At 36.8% G+C, this 17,648-nt stretch overlaps 1 protein-coding gene across 13 annotated transcripts in view, besides 2 other annotated features; it reads right to left on the reverse strand.

The window, feature by feature from the left end:
* The window catches only part of CLECL1 (C-type lectin like 1), a 32,165-nt gene extending 20,862 nt beyond the window's left edge, over positions 1-11,303 (reverse strand). For 5 of the 13 annotated variants that reach the window (NM_001441809.1, NM_001441810.1, NM_001441816.1 and 2 more), the window contains exon 1: positions 9,906-10,054. In NM_001441809.1, coding sequence (NP_001428738.1) covers positions 9,906-9,987 — 82 coding nt within the window. In that variant the 5' untranslated portion in view covers positions 9,988-10,054. The other 8 variants (NM_001441811.1, NM_001441812.1, NM_001441805.1 and 5 more) reach the window with 6 other exon arrangements.
* Positions 7,787-7,846: a silencer, noted in NCBI's record as "silent region_4234". NCBI's record gives its function as "represses an Ori minimal core promoter by ATAC-STARR-seq in GM12878 lymphoblastoid cells {active_cell/tissue: GM12878}" and the evidence as "EXISTENCE:reporter gene assay evidence [ECO:0000049][PMID:35858748]".
* Positions 17,396-17,648: a transcriptional cis regulatory region, noted in NCBI's record as "candidate enhancer chr12.520 targeted for multiplex CRISPR interference". NCBI's record gives its function as "positively regulates KLRF1 gene expression with high confidence in K562 cells {active_cell/tissue: K562}" and the evidence as "EXISTENCE:mutant phenotype evidence [ECO:0000015][PMID:30612741]".

The following is a 17,648-nucleotide window of genomic DNA, read 5'->3' on the forward strand; positions in this document are numbered from 1 at the left end:
AAAATATATCATGTTTTCTATAAGCCAGGAAATGCACCAGACACTAGGATAAAACAATGAACATCCAAGCTTCAAGGAACTAAAAACTTTAAAGGAAGAATAGAAATTAGAAATTTTAATTAGTTGTCTACTAACACATCAGAAATGTTGGGAGTTTATATCACACTAGTATAGTTATTCACAAGCAAAATTTGTGCTATAGGCAGTCCCCCAAAATCAAATAGGTTCATCTCTATTATCACACAAAACGATCTTGACATCTAAAAATGTGCTCTTAACAGCTAGTTCTAATTTATAATATTTCCCAGCAAATTTAGATGATGATACAGGGTATTCTAGATATACCAATAATTTAGTATTCCTGTAAATAAATATTCTTTACACACAGAGACAGACAGACACACACACACACACACGCACGCACACACATGACCTGAAGCCATTGAAGAGTGAACAAAGCCAGACAGATTCTAGAGGGGAGATGACACTTCAAAGAAGGTATGGCAGGGCAAAAGTTTATCATTTTTACAATTGTTAGCCTTAGGCCAATTGTAGTCCCATGTAGAGTGAGTAAAACATCATTAAAAAACCTGCAGCCTTTCTCACCTGAATAACCAGAGAACAGAGTTAAGAGAAACCACAGATGCTGAAAATGAAGAATCAATTCCATAAAATCAAAAACATAGAGGGGGTGCTCTAACTTGTGTGTACAATTTTTTTCCCCAAATCTCTGACTGATGCAAGCACAAGCCAGGTTATGGTAAGAACAAGACAACCGAACTGAGACTTGACCTGCTGCCCCAAAGATAGAGATTTAAATTTAAGTCCAACTACACCAATTGCTTGCTAAGGAAGGAAAATTGGCCAGGTGCAATGGCTCACGTCTGTGATCCCAACACTATGGGAGGCTGAGGCAAGCAGATTGCTTGAGGTCAGTTTGAGACCAATCTGGCCAACACGGCAAAATCCCATTTCTACAAAAAATAAAAAAAAATTAGCCAGTCATGGTGGTGTGTGCCTGTAACCCCAGCTACTCGGGAGGCTGAGGCAAGAGACTTGCTTGAGTCTGGGAGGTAAAGGTTGCAATGAGCCCAGATCATGTCACACTGCACTCCAGCCAGGGTGACAAAGCAACTCCATGAAAAAAAAAAAAAGAAAAAGAAAAAGAAAAAAAAAGAAAGGAAAATAAACACTTTCACTTTTTTTGGAGGAATATGTGAGAAAACACAGACTTCTCCATATAACTTTCACAATGTATAGTATATAATCTCAAATGCCTTACATGAAAAACCAGAAAAATATGACCAATTCTAAAGGAAAAGGACAATCAATGCAGCTCAATATAAGGATGATGTGGAAGTTAGAAGTATCAGGCAAATATTTTAAAGCAGCTGTTGTAACTGTGCTTAATGACATAATAGAAAATATGCTTTCAAACGATGAAAAAATAGGATACCTCAGCAAAGAAGGACAGTAGGAAAAAAGCCAAATGAAATTTAGAATTGAGAAATATAGTAAAACATTTTATATAAAAACCATCTCTGGACATACTTAAAGGCAAGATTTAACAGGAAAACAAGTTAGCGAACTTGAAATTGTCCAATATGAAGAAAAATGTTGGATAATTTTCAGATCCTCAAGGACTTGTGGAATAATATTGAAACATATGACATATTTAGAATTGAAGTCCCAAAACTTAAGAGAAGAGAAAGATTAGGGCAAAACAAGTTGAAGATACAATAATTGAAATTTTTTCCAAATTGCTTAAATCCATAAATTTACACTTTCAAGAAGCTCAGCAAAGCCTAAGCAGGTAAATATTAAGAAATTCATATGTATGAATAAGTTAGTCAAACTTAAAAGCCAAAGATAAAAATCTTGAAAACAGTTTTTGTGCATTACCTGCAAGAAAACAATTATACAAAAATCCCTCATCCTCATTATAAACTATGGGGGCTAGAATACAGTAAAAGATATCTTTAAATTGTCAAAGGAAAAAGTAACTGTCAACAAAGTATTCTATATCCAGTGAAAAATCTTCCAAAAATTGTGGCAAATTTAAGGCATTTTCAGAAAATGAAAAGAACCCCTTGACAACAGATAATCACTATAGCTAATGTTAAAGGAAGTTTTTCAGGCTGATGCGCAATGTTTCTAAATGAGAACTTGAATATTATTCAAGGGAGAACATAAAAAATGGCAAACATCTGGATAAGCATAAAAGTATAAGGTAATCAACATATCTTCAAAAAACATTTGGTCTTGCTTACAAATTAAGTTCATACTGTTGCCTAGCTTATAAAGTTCTTTCTCAGACTGATATAATGCACCTAAATCAAACCCTTTCTGAGTAAGTGTATAATTATTGCGAAAGATAGAGCAACTATGTAGCTGAAAAATTTTAGGACACATTTAATGAAAACTATAAAAACTACAGTTTCACTTCTCTGATAGACTAGATACCTGGAAGCAGTGTTTCACACCCATTTTGATATCATAGAATATAAAAAAATAGATTTCTAAAGTAGAACAAGATAGATAAATAATAGTTTATTTATAGTCTGTCAAATAGCAACTTGGATTTGTATAGCTCAGGAACTTCAATGCATAAAACGTGTCAGGGCATGCAAAGAAACAACTTTAGGAGAAACAACACTGTTGTTTCTTTGAAGATGTTTTCACTACAAGACCATTATAACCTGAGATAATTAGGTTAAACATATTGCTTTCTTTGTAAGAAATGAGGAAATCACTAAAGGAAGGCACTTAGTTAGAAGCAGAATGGGGAGCAGCATTTGGTAAATGAATTCAAAGGGCAAGGTGGCCCTTCATGGTAATAATCTATATATTGGTGCTGAGATTCTAAGAATAAGCTCTTGGTTTACTGAAAGGTGATGGGATAAATCAGTGAGCCTTTCATCAGTCTGAAACCTTAAAAAGGGCTTCAAGACATCCAAATCATTAGCTACACCCTGCCCTCTTACAGATGAAAATGCAGTTAATCTCTGGAAGAAACAATCTTTAATTTTTCCTTATGAATCCCGTTATTGAGGTCAACCAAATTTTTAAAAATCATCAAATATTTCAGGAAACAAGCCAACATATCAATAGGAAATACAAAGAATGAATTTGGTCACCAAGGACTTTAGATATTTAAATAATCCTATGTATTATAAAAAATAATGTTTAAATGGTTTTAAGAAATAAAAGAAGAAATAAAAACATCACATCACAACAACAAAAAACATCAAAAGCCAATAAGTTTGAAAATACATCCCTAGAATCAAAAACTGTTATCACTGAAATTAAAAACTCAGTGAATGAGAGCAGATGAGGAAAGCAGCAGGAAAAGGGATAATTAGTGAATTTAAAGATATATCTGAAAATATTGCTAAGAATTCAGCACAAATTGACAGGGACAAAATGTGAAGTTAGGTGAAATGGGGGCTAGAAAGCAAAGGCCCACTGCACATCTAATTTGAGTCCCAGAAGGAAACAAAGAGAAATTAGAGAAAGAATTTGGAATGGTGGTTGAATAGATCAACTACGTTTTACTTTACATATTTTAAGTCCATTTTGTTATTTTAAGATAAACTCATTTAGATTTGGTGTACTTTCCTAATCAATTGAAAGTAGAACCTTAGGAGAGGTAACTTACACCTCTATAACAATAGAATAAGGGTAAGAAAACAGATTTGGAAGCATTTAAAGCCAGAGCTTTATTTATTGTCTCCCTGTGTCACAGGTATAAGGATTACAAGAAAGTGTTTTTGCTTTGGGGATAATGTCTCACAAAGTTAAGAAAAATATTAACTTACATTGTACGAGATAGTCTTTAGATTGTGGTTGAGGGAGCTTGGGAACATCAAAGTTCCCAAAGACTTTAAACACCAATGTAAAATCTTAATTAATCCCCAGAATTTGAATCTAGTTTATAATTTGGACATGGTAAGTCATTCTAATATAATTGTTTCTGGATGTTATAAAAAGATATATAATATTTTAATACAGAATTAAAATGTAAATTAAAAAATTAAAATCAAATAACCTAAGAAAATTCAAAGGCCATCTACTGACTTTTAAAATATGCAAATACATTCATACGAGAGAGCAAAAGAAAGACTAACAAAATTAGCATTTACATTTTTAAATATGTAATAACGTTAAAAAATTGAAAAACCATCTGCAATGACCATGAATTTTAAGAGGAAAGAAATTTTAACCCCAACCTGTGCTTGCACATACCCCAATAAAAAACAAAATAAAATACAATTATTTCAATGAAATACTTTTAAATTCATTTAAAACTCATTGTATAAGCTCATTTGTCTCATTTTGCCTTGGCCCTTTACATGTTAATATTTTTATCAGAATTGTAATGAGTCCATGAAAAGCAATGATCTAAACCATCTGTCTATTGTGATAGAGAAGTTTCTCCTCTATTCAGATATCGTCAAAGAAAATCAAGGCTACTATTCATGCTTGGTTACTCAGGAATTTGGCAATACAAACTAATATTACCTACTGAGGTGATTGTTCCAGATTTATTTTCCCCAGTACAGTTTTTCTCTTTTGGCTCATTATACAATTTAGTATTGGATAATGAATAGTATGTCATGCAGTGTTGAACTAGACAACTAATGAAAGAAGAAACATGTTTTTCTAATTAGATACAAAGCCCAAAACCATTAGTCTGTAGTTATTCCATGAAGTCCAATGATATGGAAATTCCATATCAAAAGTTAAATGATTAAAAATTTAAGAGAAAAACATAACTACTCTTTCCTAGATTTAGAGTCTCTTTTGCACTCTTATTAACCTTAGCAATGTTAACTTTAAAAGAATTGGAAAAAATATGACCAGAAGAATAAGCACTTGAATTTTTTCCTGGAGCTGTCATAATTACTTTAATAAGGACAAAATGTCCAGCTCTGGATATGACTCATATTTAGATCATTTGTGTTTAGTGAGTTCCTATTAATTATATCAGGTGTCACCTGGTTGATGTTTTGTATGTTTTGGTTTTGGTTAATGATTTGTTCCTTTGAGATTCTGCATATAAATGCTGCATATATGAGATAGAGTTAGCCCAGAGTAGTTTTTTTCTGCAACGAAGAAAATATTTGTCTTTCTGCTGGCCATTTAACTGAAATTATCTTTGATAATTTATAGTCTCAGAACAATGTATATTAGGTTATTAGTATTGACCATCTAAAACCACATAAACACATCTGAAAGTAATAAAAGTAAATATTTAATAGTGCTTGTCATTTGCCAGGCATTAACACAAGATACCATATTCAGAATATATTTAATTCATTTAATGTATTAAATATATAATCTCTAATTCTTATGTTGATACATCATACTTTTAATCCTTCAACATATATACATCATAATATAGTGCATCCAATGCAAGAATTTTATTAGTGATGTAGCTGGGATTTGAAAACAGGTCCTGGGTCTCTAGAGTATCCGTGAACATCGTTGCCTTCTAGAGAAACTTTTTAAGAAGACATTTTATCTTTGAAATCTATTAGTAACACATCAATTTTAGTAGCAAAAAAATCTATTTTACTAAAAAACTATTTTAGTAACAAGAAAATCTATTGCCTTCTAAAACATAATGAAAAGTAGTATAGTAGGGATTTTTAATGCTAATTATTATTGCTCCCCCAACCCCATTTTATAGCCCTAATTATGCCATTGGCTAGTTACATTAAAGTAGTTAAACCACTTATCCCTCTGGGCTTCAGACTGCTCATCTAAACTAGACTTTGCTGATTTCTGGAGTCCCTTCTAGTTCTAAAGTTCTACAACTCTGCTTATTTATTTGTAATAGATAATGCCATTCATAATTACTAACATAATTCTCTAAGATTCAGTGACATAGACACTGCATTGACTTTTCTAGGGTTTAGTTTAATCTGGAAGCCTGAATTACTTGGAATATATATAATCTGTATATCATCTCTGTTCTACAGATATTTGTAAGGAACTTTTCCCCAAGCGTTTATTCAATAAAACATTAAAATAATGGCCATATGAAAAATTGGACTATGTTTGGCTATGTCCAAAGTACATTAGTATAAATTTATAATGCTCAATGGAATTGATTTATTTTAGACAAATTTCTCACCTGTTGACACAAGATTGATGATACTTAGGAGTAGCAGATATGAATAAGCATACACAGAAACACAAGTCATAATTTAATTTGCTTCCTTCTGAACATGGTTTCAGAGACATCTGTGTATATCCCAACATCAAACTGCACCAGGCAATTCACTGCATGATCTTGATCATAAAATAAGCAACTAATCTTGCCATCTCTTTTCTTTATCATTGAGATGAATTTATAATGTATATTTTATCACATGGTGAAATTCTATAGAAAATCTCTAATTTTAGTTGTGTATCAAATTTTACACTTTTTGTGAAGTTGTACCATATTGTTTAGGAACCATTTAAATAGCAAACACAGTTACAACAAGTTAGGAGAAAAATAATACCCTGAGATGAATAAATAATATTACTAATTACTTACCCAAAATATTCAGTACAATTACTATTACCAGAAGGATAATATTATTGCACATCCAACGTTAAGAACAATTCCATGGTGGTGAGAATCTACAAAATTGAATAGATTTCACTAGTAAACCCAGCAGGTAGCTCCTTAGATGGTGAGAGGTAGGAGAGGGCCAAATAAACTTTCTCACCTATCATGTTCCTGAGTTACTTTCCTTCGAAATATGTAGACCCAGCTTCTTTTTTTTTTTCCACACAAAACACACATATGCGAGTATTCTCTGGTTTGAATAAATATGAATTTTTCCTTTTGGTTTCACTGTTTATATTCCCCAGTATTGATCTTACTTATGATCACTGTCTGTGTCTCTGGGTTTTTATATAAGACTGTGAAACCCTCAAGATTCTCTAATAAGCTTATTGACAACACCCATTTATTTGAGCTGATCTTTTCTGTTTCTCCTCTTATATAATGTATCCATTTCCTGTGATATAGCATTGTAATTCCATAAAACCATACATTTAAACATAAAAGAAATGTTAGAGATTATTTTAACGCAATACCCACGTGTTAAAATGGGGATATTCAAGTTCACAGTCACACAGTTACTTGAGAGCAGAGCTGATATCTAACCTCAGGTCTCTTGACTACCAGACTAGTGCTGCCTTCGGTATCCACACTTCTCATTGCATTTGAAGTACTCAAAAGATAATAAATAAACCAAATAAAAGAAGTTGTACTTTTAGCTTTAGGCTGAAAGTTTAAAACAACAGTCTCTGGTACATAAAAGTTACAGTACATTGTTTCCACTAGATATGTGACCTAAACACACAATACACTGAGAAAGTACTGAAAATAGCTGATATTGAAATATAATCATATCAAGACTAAATGGAATGTTTATTTGGTAGATTATTATTGAGTGCATTGTTTTATGTGCTGATTATTATTGCTATTAATTAAAACATCTTTAATAGGAATTTGTTAATTTTCAAAACATTAAAAGAAGTCCACATATTTTCACTCATCAGACAAAACAGTCAAAATTGTGGGAGTCAAGTCAGTCACAGAAAGAATGTGGTGATGTCACTACACGTTTCTTTTTCTTTCTTTTTTTCTTTTCTTTTTTTTTTGGATAGGCTTTTGTTCTGTTGCCCAGGCTAGAGTGCAGTGGCATGATCACTGCTCACTGCAACCTCCACCTCCCAGGTTCAAGCAATCTTACTGCCTCAGCCTCCTGAGTAGCTGTGAATACAGGCACGTGTCACCATGCTCGTTTTTAAAATTTTTGGTAGGCATGAGGTCTCTCTGTGTTGTCCAGGCTGGTACCAATCTCATGGGCTCAAGCGATCCTCCTTCCTCGGCATCCCAAAGTGTTGGGATTACAGGCGTCAGCCATTGTGCCTGGCCACTACACATGTTACTAATATGACGAACTGAAATTATGGATCCCTAAGTTTAGTAGAATAAAATTTCAGATTTCATAAAAAGACTAACATAAAAGATATTGATCATTCTTTTAGGCCTCCTAAGTAAGATTTAAGCAAAGCATAAATTTCTGGGATATTCTCAGTTCAAACACACACTCTCACTGATGTCCTGCTAAGCTTCCTGATGACATTCCTTTATGCTTTACATCTTGGAGAACCAATGAGCATACATATATACATTCATCGTCTAATGCGATTCATTTATTTATTCAGCCATTTATAAATTATTTTACTTATCAAGCATCTATTAATTTCCTGCTCTATATTTAGTACGGTGTGAGGTGCTAGAAACACAAAGATTAATAGATTATGTAGAAAGATTCAGCATTTTATGAGGCTCTGAAATGGTAAGGAATATGACAACCTTTAGGAGAAAAGAAAAGGCCAATAGCCAGAGCAAAATCAGTGAAAGGTATGAGGTTAGAAGAGATCAGGAACAATTGTGTAGGACTCTGTATGTAAGACAACAAAAATCTAATCTATCCAACAGCTCTTTCGCTTGATGGCGAAGTGACGCATGAGAACAAAAGTTGCGTTTATCTAACACCACACGTATACAGCACAAGAACAATATGATATTTGACTTCTGGTCATAAGCATGACTATAGGTAGGTAATTTAATCTTCATATAGTTCGTTTTCTCATTTTTAGCATTCTAAGATTGAACTAGATCACATTAAAAGATGTTGCCCCACATCCCTAAACTGGGAAAAGAATAAGGTTTTATTTATAAAAGTTCAAACCATAGACAGAAAGGCAATTAAACCCTGGAATGCGGAATCAAAAATATTGGTTTTGTTGCTTAAACTGAGTAAAATAACCTCTAGAAAAAGAAACTAACTACAGGACATTTTTGAAGCATAGGGGAATGACAGTGCAGTTCTAGTCCATGTTATTTTTCAAATTATGTTTCACTATTTCATAGGAAGTGAAAGTGCCTAAGCTGGAAGAAAAGAAAGCAAGTTAGCCTCTGCTGGGTAAAATAGAGAGGTAAGGTTTAAAATAAGAAACAAGATGCTTTTACAACCAGAAAAGGACACACACTAGATTCCTTTGATAACTATAAACTTTTGAAAATATAAAGAAGAAATACATTCCTTGGAAATACGAACAAAGTAGCAGATTCATTCCACAAGGGCAAATACAAAGGAGGAACTTTAAATTATTTAAAACACCTACATAAACTCTATGCTACAAAAATTCTTACCCTAGAGCAGAGAATGGAAATGTAACAAGACAGAGAAATTTCCTTAATACTTCAAAGAATAGAAAAGACACTGGCTATGAAAATCTATAATTTTTGAGGGGGTTTGGTGATGAAGGCACCATGTTAAGTTTAGGCATATGCTTATCGCCTCTGATTCCAGAAATATTCAATTACCTAGTCATTAATTCTAGACTTTATAAAATTAAATCTAACGTTTCATGTTTTCTTAAGTTTACATTTTTATCCTATTGATATTGTAAAAGAATAAATAACAATATGAGTAAATTGCCACAGGTATTTTTCCCAGTGGAGATGAATTTATCACATTATGTTAAAAGGTCAGATTTGATTGAGAGTGAGCAAAGCTGTGGAGCAGAAAGGCGTGATCCCGCTAGAAGTTGCTGTGTGAATATAAACATTCATCACGAGAAATCAAGAAATAGAAAGGCTATGAAAACAGAAGCAAAGTTCTACATATTAAAACCAAAGTGGCAATTTATTTTATGAACAGACATTTTGCTTCATTAAAAACATTCGCTCTTATTCTTAGCATTCAATGAATTTTGCTTTGAATCCAATCTCCTCTTTTCAGTTTGGCAATTAGATACATAAGAAAGAAATAAAGGAGATAACTAGTAAAATCTTAATTCTCAAAGGCACCCTAAATCCAGCTTACCAGATCTCTGAAGTGGAAACGCGAGTTCTAACGGGGAAGTCCGAACAGTTTTGATGTCAGCGTAGACTACATCTCCAGCCATTGCACAGATCAAAAAGAGAGAGAAGACCACAAATGATGTCCCACTGAAGGGACAATCATATTTCTGCAAAGAAACTTCTGATAAGTAAATTGAGATGGCAAATTTCCTTCTGCTCCCCAAGTGGGTGGTGGACTTCCTCCATGAATAAATGACAAAACCAATGTGTTCAGTCTTACTAATCAAGGTAGCAGATTTCTCGAATACTTGTATGACATGGAAGAAATTACTAACCATACAGTAGGTTCTCGTTTTTCAGTTAGTTTTCTGCCTAAACTTGAAATGCTTTTAACTTTTATTAATACCACAGAAGATATCTCACCATTTTCTCCTATAGACCACTTCCTCTTTTAGTTCAGGCATATATTCTCTGGCGGAAACTCTGAATTTCCAGCATCTTCTCCAAAGTAGGATAGCTATTTGGGAAACAGAACAAGAAAAAGAAGGGATTTTATTACGAAAGTTACAGAAAGGGGCCCTATGTCTTTTATCCTCCTCTCTAAATGCATTGTATTGTCTAGATAATACCTTAAAAATTCTGAAAGCTATTTGCTTTCCTGTATGCTTTATAATATTAACATTAAACTGAGGTAAAACATGAATTATGCAGAGGACTTCTGAACTAAAAAATATATATTTAAGAAACAGAAATAACTCTGTTAAAATAATTCAAGGTAATGACATAAAAGAAAAAAATCTAATTTTAAAATGAGGTGTTCAGAAATTTACTATCGAATACAACATAGCAAACATAGATTTTATCTCCTATTTCTTCTAAAATTCCACTAAAATTGAATTAAGTGAATAAAAATTTGTTAGTCTAAAACAATAACACAAAGGCTCAGGGTCCTATTAGTTGATGAAAAATTTCAACTAATTCCTGGAAAATGGAGAGTAGATGGAGATGTGATCATTGATGAAGAAGTAAAATCAGAGAAAAATGCAGCCAACACCATACAGAGGGAAATAATGGAGGAGAGCCTAGCTACCTGTGAAACCGTCATAGGACATAGAAATGTCAGATATGAAAAATGGCAGGATCCATTAGCTTATGACTAGTAGATTAACTGGAAATCTGCATATGGAAAAACTGGTTTTTTCAATACCCACTCAAGTGCATTCTGCAGAATTAATCTAAACTGCAGTCACCCCATCCCTACCCCTCATCCAAGAAATTTAACTTAGGTTAATTAAATAACTAGAGAACAGATCCTGGCTTTGTGGCATTTAGGGATCCCTCCTATAAAGACCAACTTCTGACCCTGGATGAGGCTTGAGCACCGACCTCTGTCTCTTAAGACTGCATGACACTCTCTCCCTTTTCTGGGCTGTTCCAACTGTTTGTATGTGACTAGACAATACCTACTACATACATGAAAAACTGACTTTTAGAGGTTTTATTATCTGCAGGTGGTTGCATAACCAATAATTTTTTTTTTTTTGAGACGGAGTCTCACTCTGTCACCCAGGCTGGAGTGCAGTGGCGCGATCTCGGCTCACTGCAAGCTCTGCCTCCCGGGTTCATGCCATTCTCCTGCCTCAGCCTCCCGAGTAGCTGGGACTACAGGCGCCCGCCACCACGCCCGGCTAATATTTTGTATTTTTAGTAGAGACGAGTTTCACGGTGGTCTCGATCTCCTGACCTCGTGATCTGCCCGCCTCAGCCTCCCAAAGGCATAACCAGTACATTTTAAGAGTGATAACTGAGTTCTAAGTCCATGCCATAATTCAACTATGCTGTCTAGATTTTGAGGGTAAGACTCACATTTTATTATTTTTATTTTCATCACTTAGTTTTGTGTGAAACATAACAGCCGCTCAGTAATTATGTGTTGAATTACCAAATCAGTTATGCTATGCTGAATGTTATAATTAGGCTATAACAGTTTTCCAGAATGAGAATAATCATTTTTCACTAAAAAGTAGACTTTTATTCATATGAAAAATATGACTGATGGGCCGGGTGCCCTGGCTCATGCCTGTAATCCCAGCACTTTGGGAGGCCGAGACGGGCGGATCATGAAGTCAGGAGCTCGAGACCAGCCTGGCCAACATAGTGAAATCCCATATCTGCTAAAAATATAAAAAATTAGTCGGGCGTGGTGGCGTACGCCTGTAATCCCAGCTACCTGGGAGGCTGAGGCAGAAGAATGGGTTGAACTTAGGAGGCAGAGGTTGCAGTGAGCTGAGGTCGCGCCATTGCACTCCAGCCCTGGAGACAGTGCAAGACTCCGTCTCAAAAAAGAAAAATATGACTGATGATCTAGTCATATAAAAGTAAAAAAATTACTAGCATGTAGAGTATTAAAAGAGTGTTAAAAAATTAGGGTAAGTATGTCAATTTCTGCCATGAAAAAGGCAGCTGGGATTCAGCAGATCAATTTTGGGAATAGTGCAAACTGAGTAATATTCATTTTTTCAATCCATAAATACAGAATCTCTCCTTTATTTAGATATTCCTTAATCTATTTCAGAAATGGTTTGCATTGTTCACAGAATAACTCTTACACTTCTGTTATTAAACTTATTCTTTATTTTATTATTTTTGATGTTATTGTAAACAAAGATTTTTCTAAATTTCATTTTTGGATTGTTCATTGCTAGTCTGTAAAAGCACTATTACTATTTTATATTGATTTTTATCCTGTAATCTTGCTGAACTTGTTTATTACCTCTAATTTTTATTGCTGTTGTGAATGTTTTAGGATGACATGATATGCAAGATCATGTTATCTGCAAATAAAGACAGTTTCACTTCTTCCTTTCGTATTCTTGTTTTATTCCCTTGGCAAGAAACTCCAGCATGATGCTGAATAGAAGAGGTGAAAGCAGATCTACTCCATCATTTTCACCAATATCATCCCCAGGTTGGGTTATCAAGGACTGGCTTTGCAGCATCAGGGCAACGAGTCCTTGTTATGTACAGCGCAAAGACTTAGTTAATGAATTCAAAATCACTAATGTTTATTTTTACACAGTTCTTTCATATGCGATATATATATATATATATATATATATTTTAATAGTTTAGACGGAGTCTCCCTCTGTCGCCCAGCCTGGAGTGCAGTGGCGCGATCTCAGCTCACTGCAAGCTCCGCCTCCCAGGTTCACGCCATTCTCCTGCCTCAGCCTCCCGAGCAGCTGGGATTACAGGTGCCCGCCACCACGCCTGGCTAATTTTTTGTATTTTTAATAGAGACAGGTTTTCACCATGTCAGCCAGGATGGTCTCGATCTCCTGACATCGTGATCCACCCGCCTCGGACTCCCAAAGTGCTGGGATTACAGGCGTTGAGCCACCGTGCCTGGCCTATATGTTATATTTTTTTTTAACAAAGGTTATCCTATTATATTTTCTCTCTGTGTTAGACGTGCTTAAATTAAAATTTACATGTGTATTGATGGACCACAGGTCATATCCAAATCTGACTTAGACACAGACACATAATTGTGAGATCCTGGAGGTGAAGATAAAGACAATAATTGCACAGAAGTATATTTCTCTTAATGGAGGGGCTTCATGTTTATTTATGTATATGTTTTCAGTAGTGGTTTGTGTCATTAAGTTTTTGAAAAGGAAGGTTTTTTTTATATTTAGTTTGAAAAGAAGAATGTGCTTACATAGCCAATACTAAATGCAGTCATAAAAGTGTTTTAACATCTTTGTATGTTTGTTTCTTCATTTCTGTCACTTCATGGTACTTTTTAAAAATTTACACAGTTACTTGTTATTGTTCATATCTTCTGTTTCTTGGCATGTTGAATAATTCCTGATTAGATGCTGGATATTATGATTTATGTTTACAGATGCCTTGATGTTGTGGTCTTCGCTTAAAGCATGTTATGTTGGTTGTCTTCATTTAAAGACTATCAGGCAGTTAATTTACCTTACATGGAGATAAGTTTCATAATTTTGAAACCTGTTTTTAATTTTTGCTACGTATGAACTCATCTCACCTCCTCTTCAGGGATAGTTTATTCCTGCTACCAAGGTCTGATCTTTCTGAATGGCCCTGGTGATTACTGATGACAGCACAATAAGAGATTAAGTGTTAACAGCATTAAAATGTCAAAGATGCGGAACAGACAGTACAGTGTACTAAAAAATTAACGACATTTTGGGGGAGGCTAAGAAAAAGGAAGTTGTGCAGTTCCAAAAAGAGGAAATATGTTCTAAAATAAAGAGTAAAATATTAACTTAAAAGAAATCAGTAACTTCAAATGTAGATTTAAAACATTGAGGTTTACACAAAAGTGGAGGTACCAGTATTCTCTAGCTAGTAAATGATATCAAAGGTAACTCAGAGACATTTAGTTGTAAGCACATAAATTTGCTTAAGAGAGTTTTGTTAACAAAGACAAGTTACATGGGAGAGAGCAAAAGAGAGAGAACAGTTTTCAGTAATTTGGCTGGAAAGAGTTTTATTGTTCTTATGTACCTGAAGTATAGTTGGACTGAATACAAAAGTTGAGATCTGTTATCAGATTTCCTCTGAATTTTAGTTGCACTTTCTGCCAGATGACATAATTGTTAAAAAACACAATATGATTTTGATTTCTGATCCTGTGTCTGAGGCCTAACTTTTCTATCTGGAGACTTTCAGAATCTTGTATTTATTCCTACAATTCTGAAATTCTGCAGTGAGGTGTCTTTTAAGTCTATTTTTGTCCTTTCCATGGGGCATTCAATGTGAAGCTTTAAACAGGAAACTCACACCCTTAGCTTCTGAGAAATTTTTTTATACTTATTTCCTAATTTTCCTCGTATCTTTATTCTAATGTCTTTTTTCTAGCATTCCTTTTAGTGAAATATTAGTGCTCTTGGGTTGATATTCTACTATTATTATACTTTTTCTTTTATCTCTTCCTCTTTAGATTTTATTACCTAGGAAATTTCTCAAGTTTTTCCTCCACCCATTTTATAGAATTTGTTTTTTTATTTTCTTATAATTTTAATTTTCAAGGATTATTTCTTGTTGTGATCTTTTTTATAGTTTACTCTTTTTGTTTAAGTGATATACTATTTTCTTTCCCCACACCTGAGATTATGAATTATAAGAATATTTTAAGTCTTTCTTTCATTTTTACGATCAATTCTAATTTGAACTTCATCTTATGTGTACTTGTTTTGATCTTTTTTTTTTTTTTTTTGAGACGGAGTTCTGCTGTGTTGCCCAGGGTGAAGTGCAGTGACAAAATCTCGGCTCACTGCAACCTCCACCTCCCAGGTTCAAGTCAAGCGATTCTCCTGCCTCAGCCTCCCAAGTAGCTGGGATTACAAGCACGTGCCACCACACCCAGCTAATTTCTTTGTATGTTTAGTGGAGATGGGGTTTCACCATCTTGGCCAGGCTGGTCTCGAACTCCTGGCCTCAGGTGATCCGCCTGCCTCAGCCCCCCAAAGTGCTGGGATTCAGGTGTGAGCCATCGGGCCCGGCCTGATCTCTTACTTTTATTGGAGACTTTTCTAAATATCTAGTAGTCCTTAAGTGTCTAACAGCATGCAAGACTGAGGTACTAAATAAGCGAAGGGAATTTCTGTGTCTGGGATCAGTGGACATCACTGGATGTTCAGGCAGAAGTTATTTATTTCTTCTTAATCTCAATATTTGTAGGTCTTTATTATGAAGCAGGTCAGTTTTTTCAAAGAGAAATTCTCCAATTTTCTTCTTGGGTGCCTTAAGCCTGATTGTCGAGGATATTGAAGTCAATTAGGAGATGTCAAACTGTGTCCGGACTTGGTGGGTTCTTGGTCTCACTGACTTCAAGAACGAAGCCGTGGACCCTCGCAGTGAGTGTTACAGCTGTTAAGGTGGCGCCTCTGGAGTTTGTTCCTTCTGGCGTTCGGATGTGTTCGGAGTTTCTTTCTTCTGGTGGGTTCGGGGTCTCGCTGGCTCAGGAGTGAAGCTGCAGAACCTCAAGGTGAGTGTTACAGCTCCTAAGGCAGCGCGTCTGGAGTTGTTAGTTCCTCCCGGTGGGCTCCTGGTCTCGCTGGCTTCAGGAGTGAAGCTGCAGATGTTCGCGGTGAGTGTTACAGCTCACATAAGCAGTGCGGACCCAAAGAGTGAGCGGTAGCAAGATTTATTGCACAGAACAGAAGAACAAAGCTTCCACAGCGTGACCGAGCGGGCTGCCACTGCTGGCTTGGGCAGCCTGCTTTTATTCTCTTATCTGGCCCCCACCCACATCCTGCTGATTGGTAGAGCCCAGTGGTCTGTTTTGACAGGGTGCTGATTGGTGCGTTTACAATCCCTGAGCTAGACACAAAGGTTCTCCACATCCCCACCAGATTAGCTAGATACGGAGTGTCCACACAAACGTTCTCCAAGGCCCCACCAGAGTAGCTAGATACAGAGTGTCGATTGGTGCATTCACAAACCCTGAGCTAGATACAGAGTGCCTATTGGTGTATTTACAATCCCTGAGCTAGACATAAAGGTTCTCCACGTCCCCACCAGACTCAGGAGCCCAGCTGGCTTCACCCGGTGGATCCCACACCGGGGCTGCAGGTAGAGCTGCCTGCCAGTCCCATGCTCTGCGCCCGCACTCCTCAGCGAGTCGTCCTCAGTGGTCGATGGGACTGGGCGCCGTGAAGCAGGGGGCGGCGCTCATCGGGGAGGCTCCGGCCGCACAGGAGCCCACGGAGAGGGTGGGAGGCTCAGGCATGGCGGGCTGCAGGTCCCGAGCCCTGCCCCGCGGGAAGGCAGCTAAGGCCCGGCGAGAAATCGAGCGCAGCGCCGGTGGGCTGGCACTGCTGGGGGGCCCAGTACACCCTCCGCAGCCGCTGGCCCGGGTGCTAAGCCCCTCATTGCCCCGGGCCGGCAGGGCCTGCCGGCTGCTCCGAGTGCGGAGCCCGCCAAGCCCACGCCTACCCGGAACTCCAGCTGGCCCGCAAGCGCCGCGCGCAGCCCCGGTTCCCGCCCGCGCCCCTCCCTCCCACACCTCCCTGCAAGCTGAGGGAGCCGGCTCCGGCCTTGGCCAGCCCAGCAAGGGGCTCCCACAGTGCAGCGGTGGGCTGAAGTGCTCCTCAAGTGCCACCAAAGTGGGAGCCCCGGCAGAGGAGGCGCCGAGAGCGAGCGAGGGCTGTGACGACTGCCAGCACGCTGTCACCTCTCAAAAGCAAGTCTGTTATTCAGAATTTCAATTAATTCCTCTGTCTTTAGTAAAGCACGTCCTCCCTTAGCCTTGCCTAGAGACTCTTACTCTGAATTCAGGCTCCTTTTGGTTCAGTAATGCCAGGCAATAAACTTCCAATCTTCAGTAGACATACAGGGTTGCCGTTTGGTTGTTCAAGGGGCTCCTTGTATATATTTTCTACTAATTCCCCAGTTTTCCCCCATATTGAACCCATACGGTATTAGTTTTTTATTGCTAAATAACAAATTACCTTAAGCTTTGTGGTTTAAAACAATGCACATTTGTTATCTCATAATTTCTGTATGCCAGGAGTGTAGGCATGGCTTGGGTAGGTGCTACGCTTCAGAGACTCACAAGGCTGCAGTGAAGGTGTTGGCTGTGGCTCTCATCTCCTCTGAGGCTCATCTGGGGAAGGATCTGCTTCTAGGCTCACATGGTTGCTGGCAGCATTCACTTCCTTGTGGGCCATCAACTGAGGGCCTGAGTTTCTTGATGGCTACTAGCCAGAGGTAGCCCTCAGTTTCTTGC

This window comes from Homo sapiens, chromosome 12 (genome assembly GCF_000001405.40).
Source record: "Homo sapiens chromosome 12, GRCh38.p14 Primary Assembly".
Taxonomy (NCBI): Eukaryota; Metazoa; Chordata; class Mammalia; order Primates; family Hominidae; genus Homo; species Homo sapiens.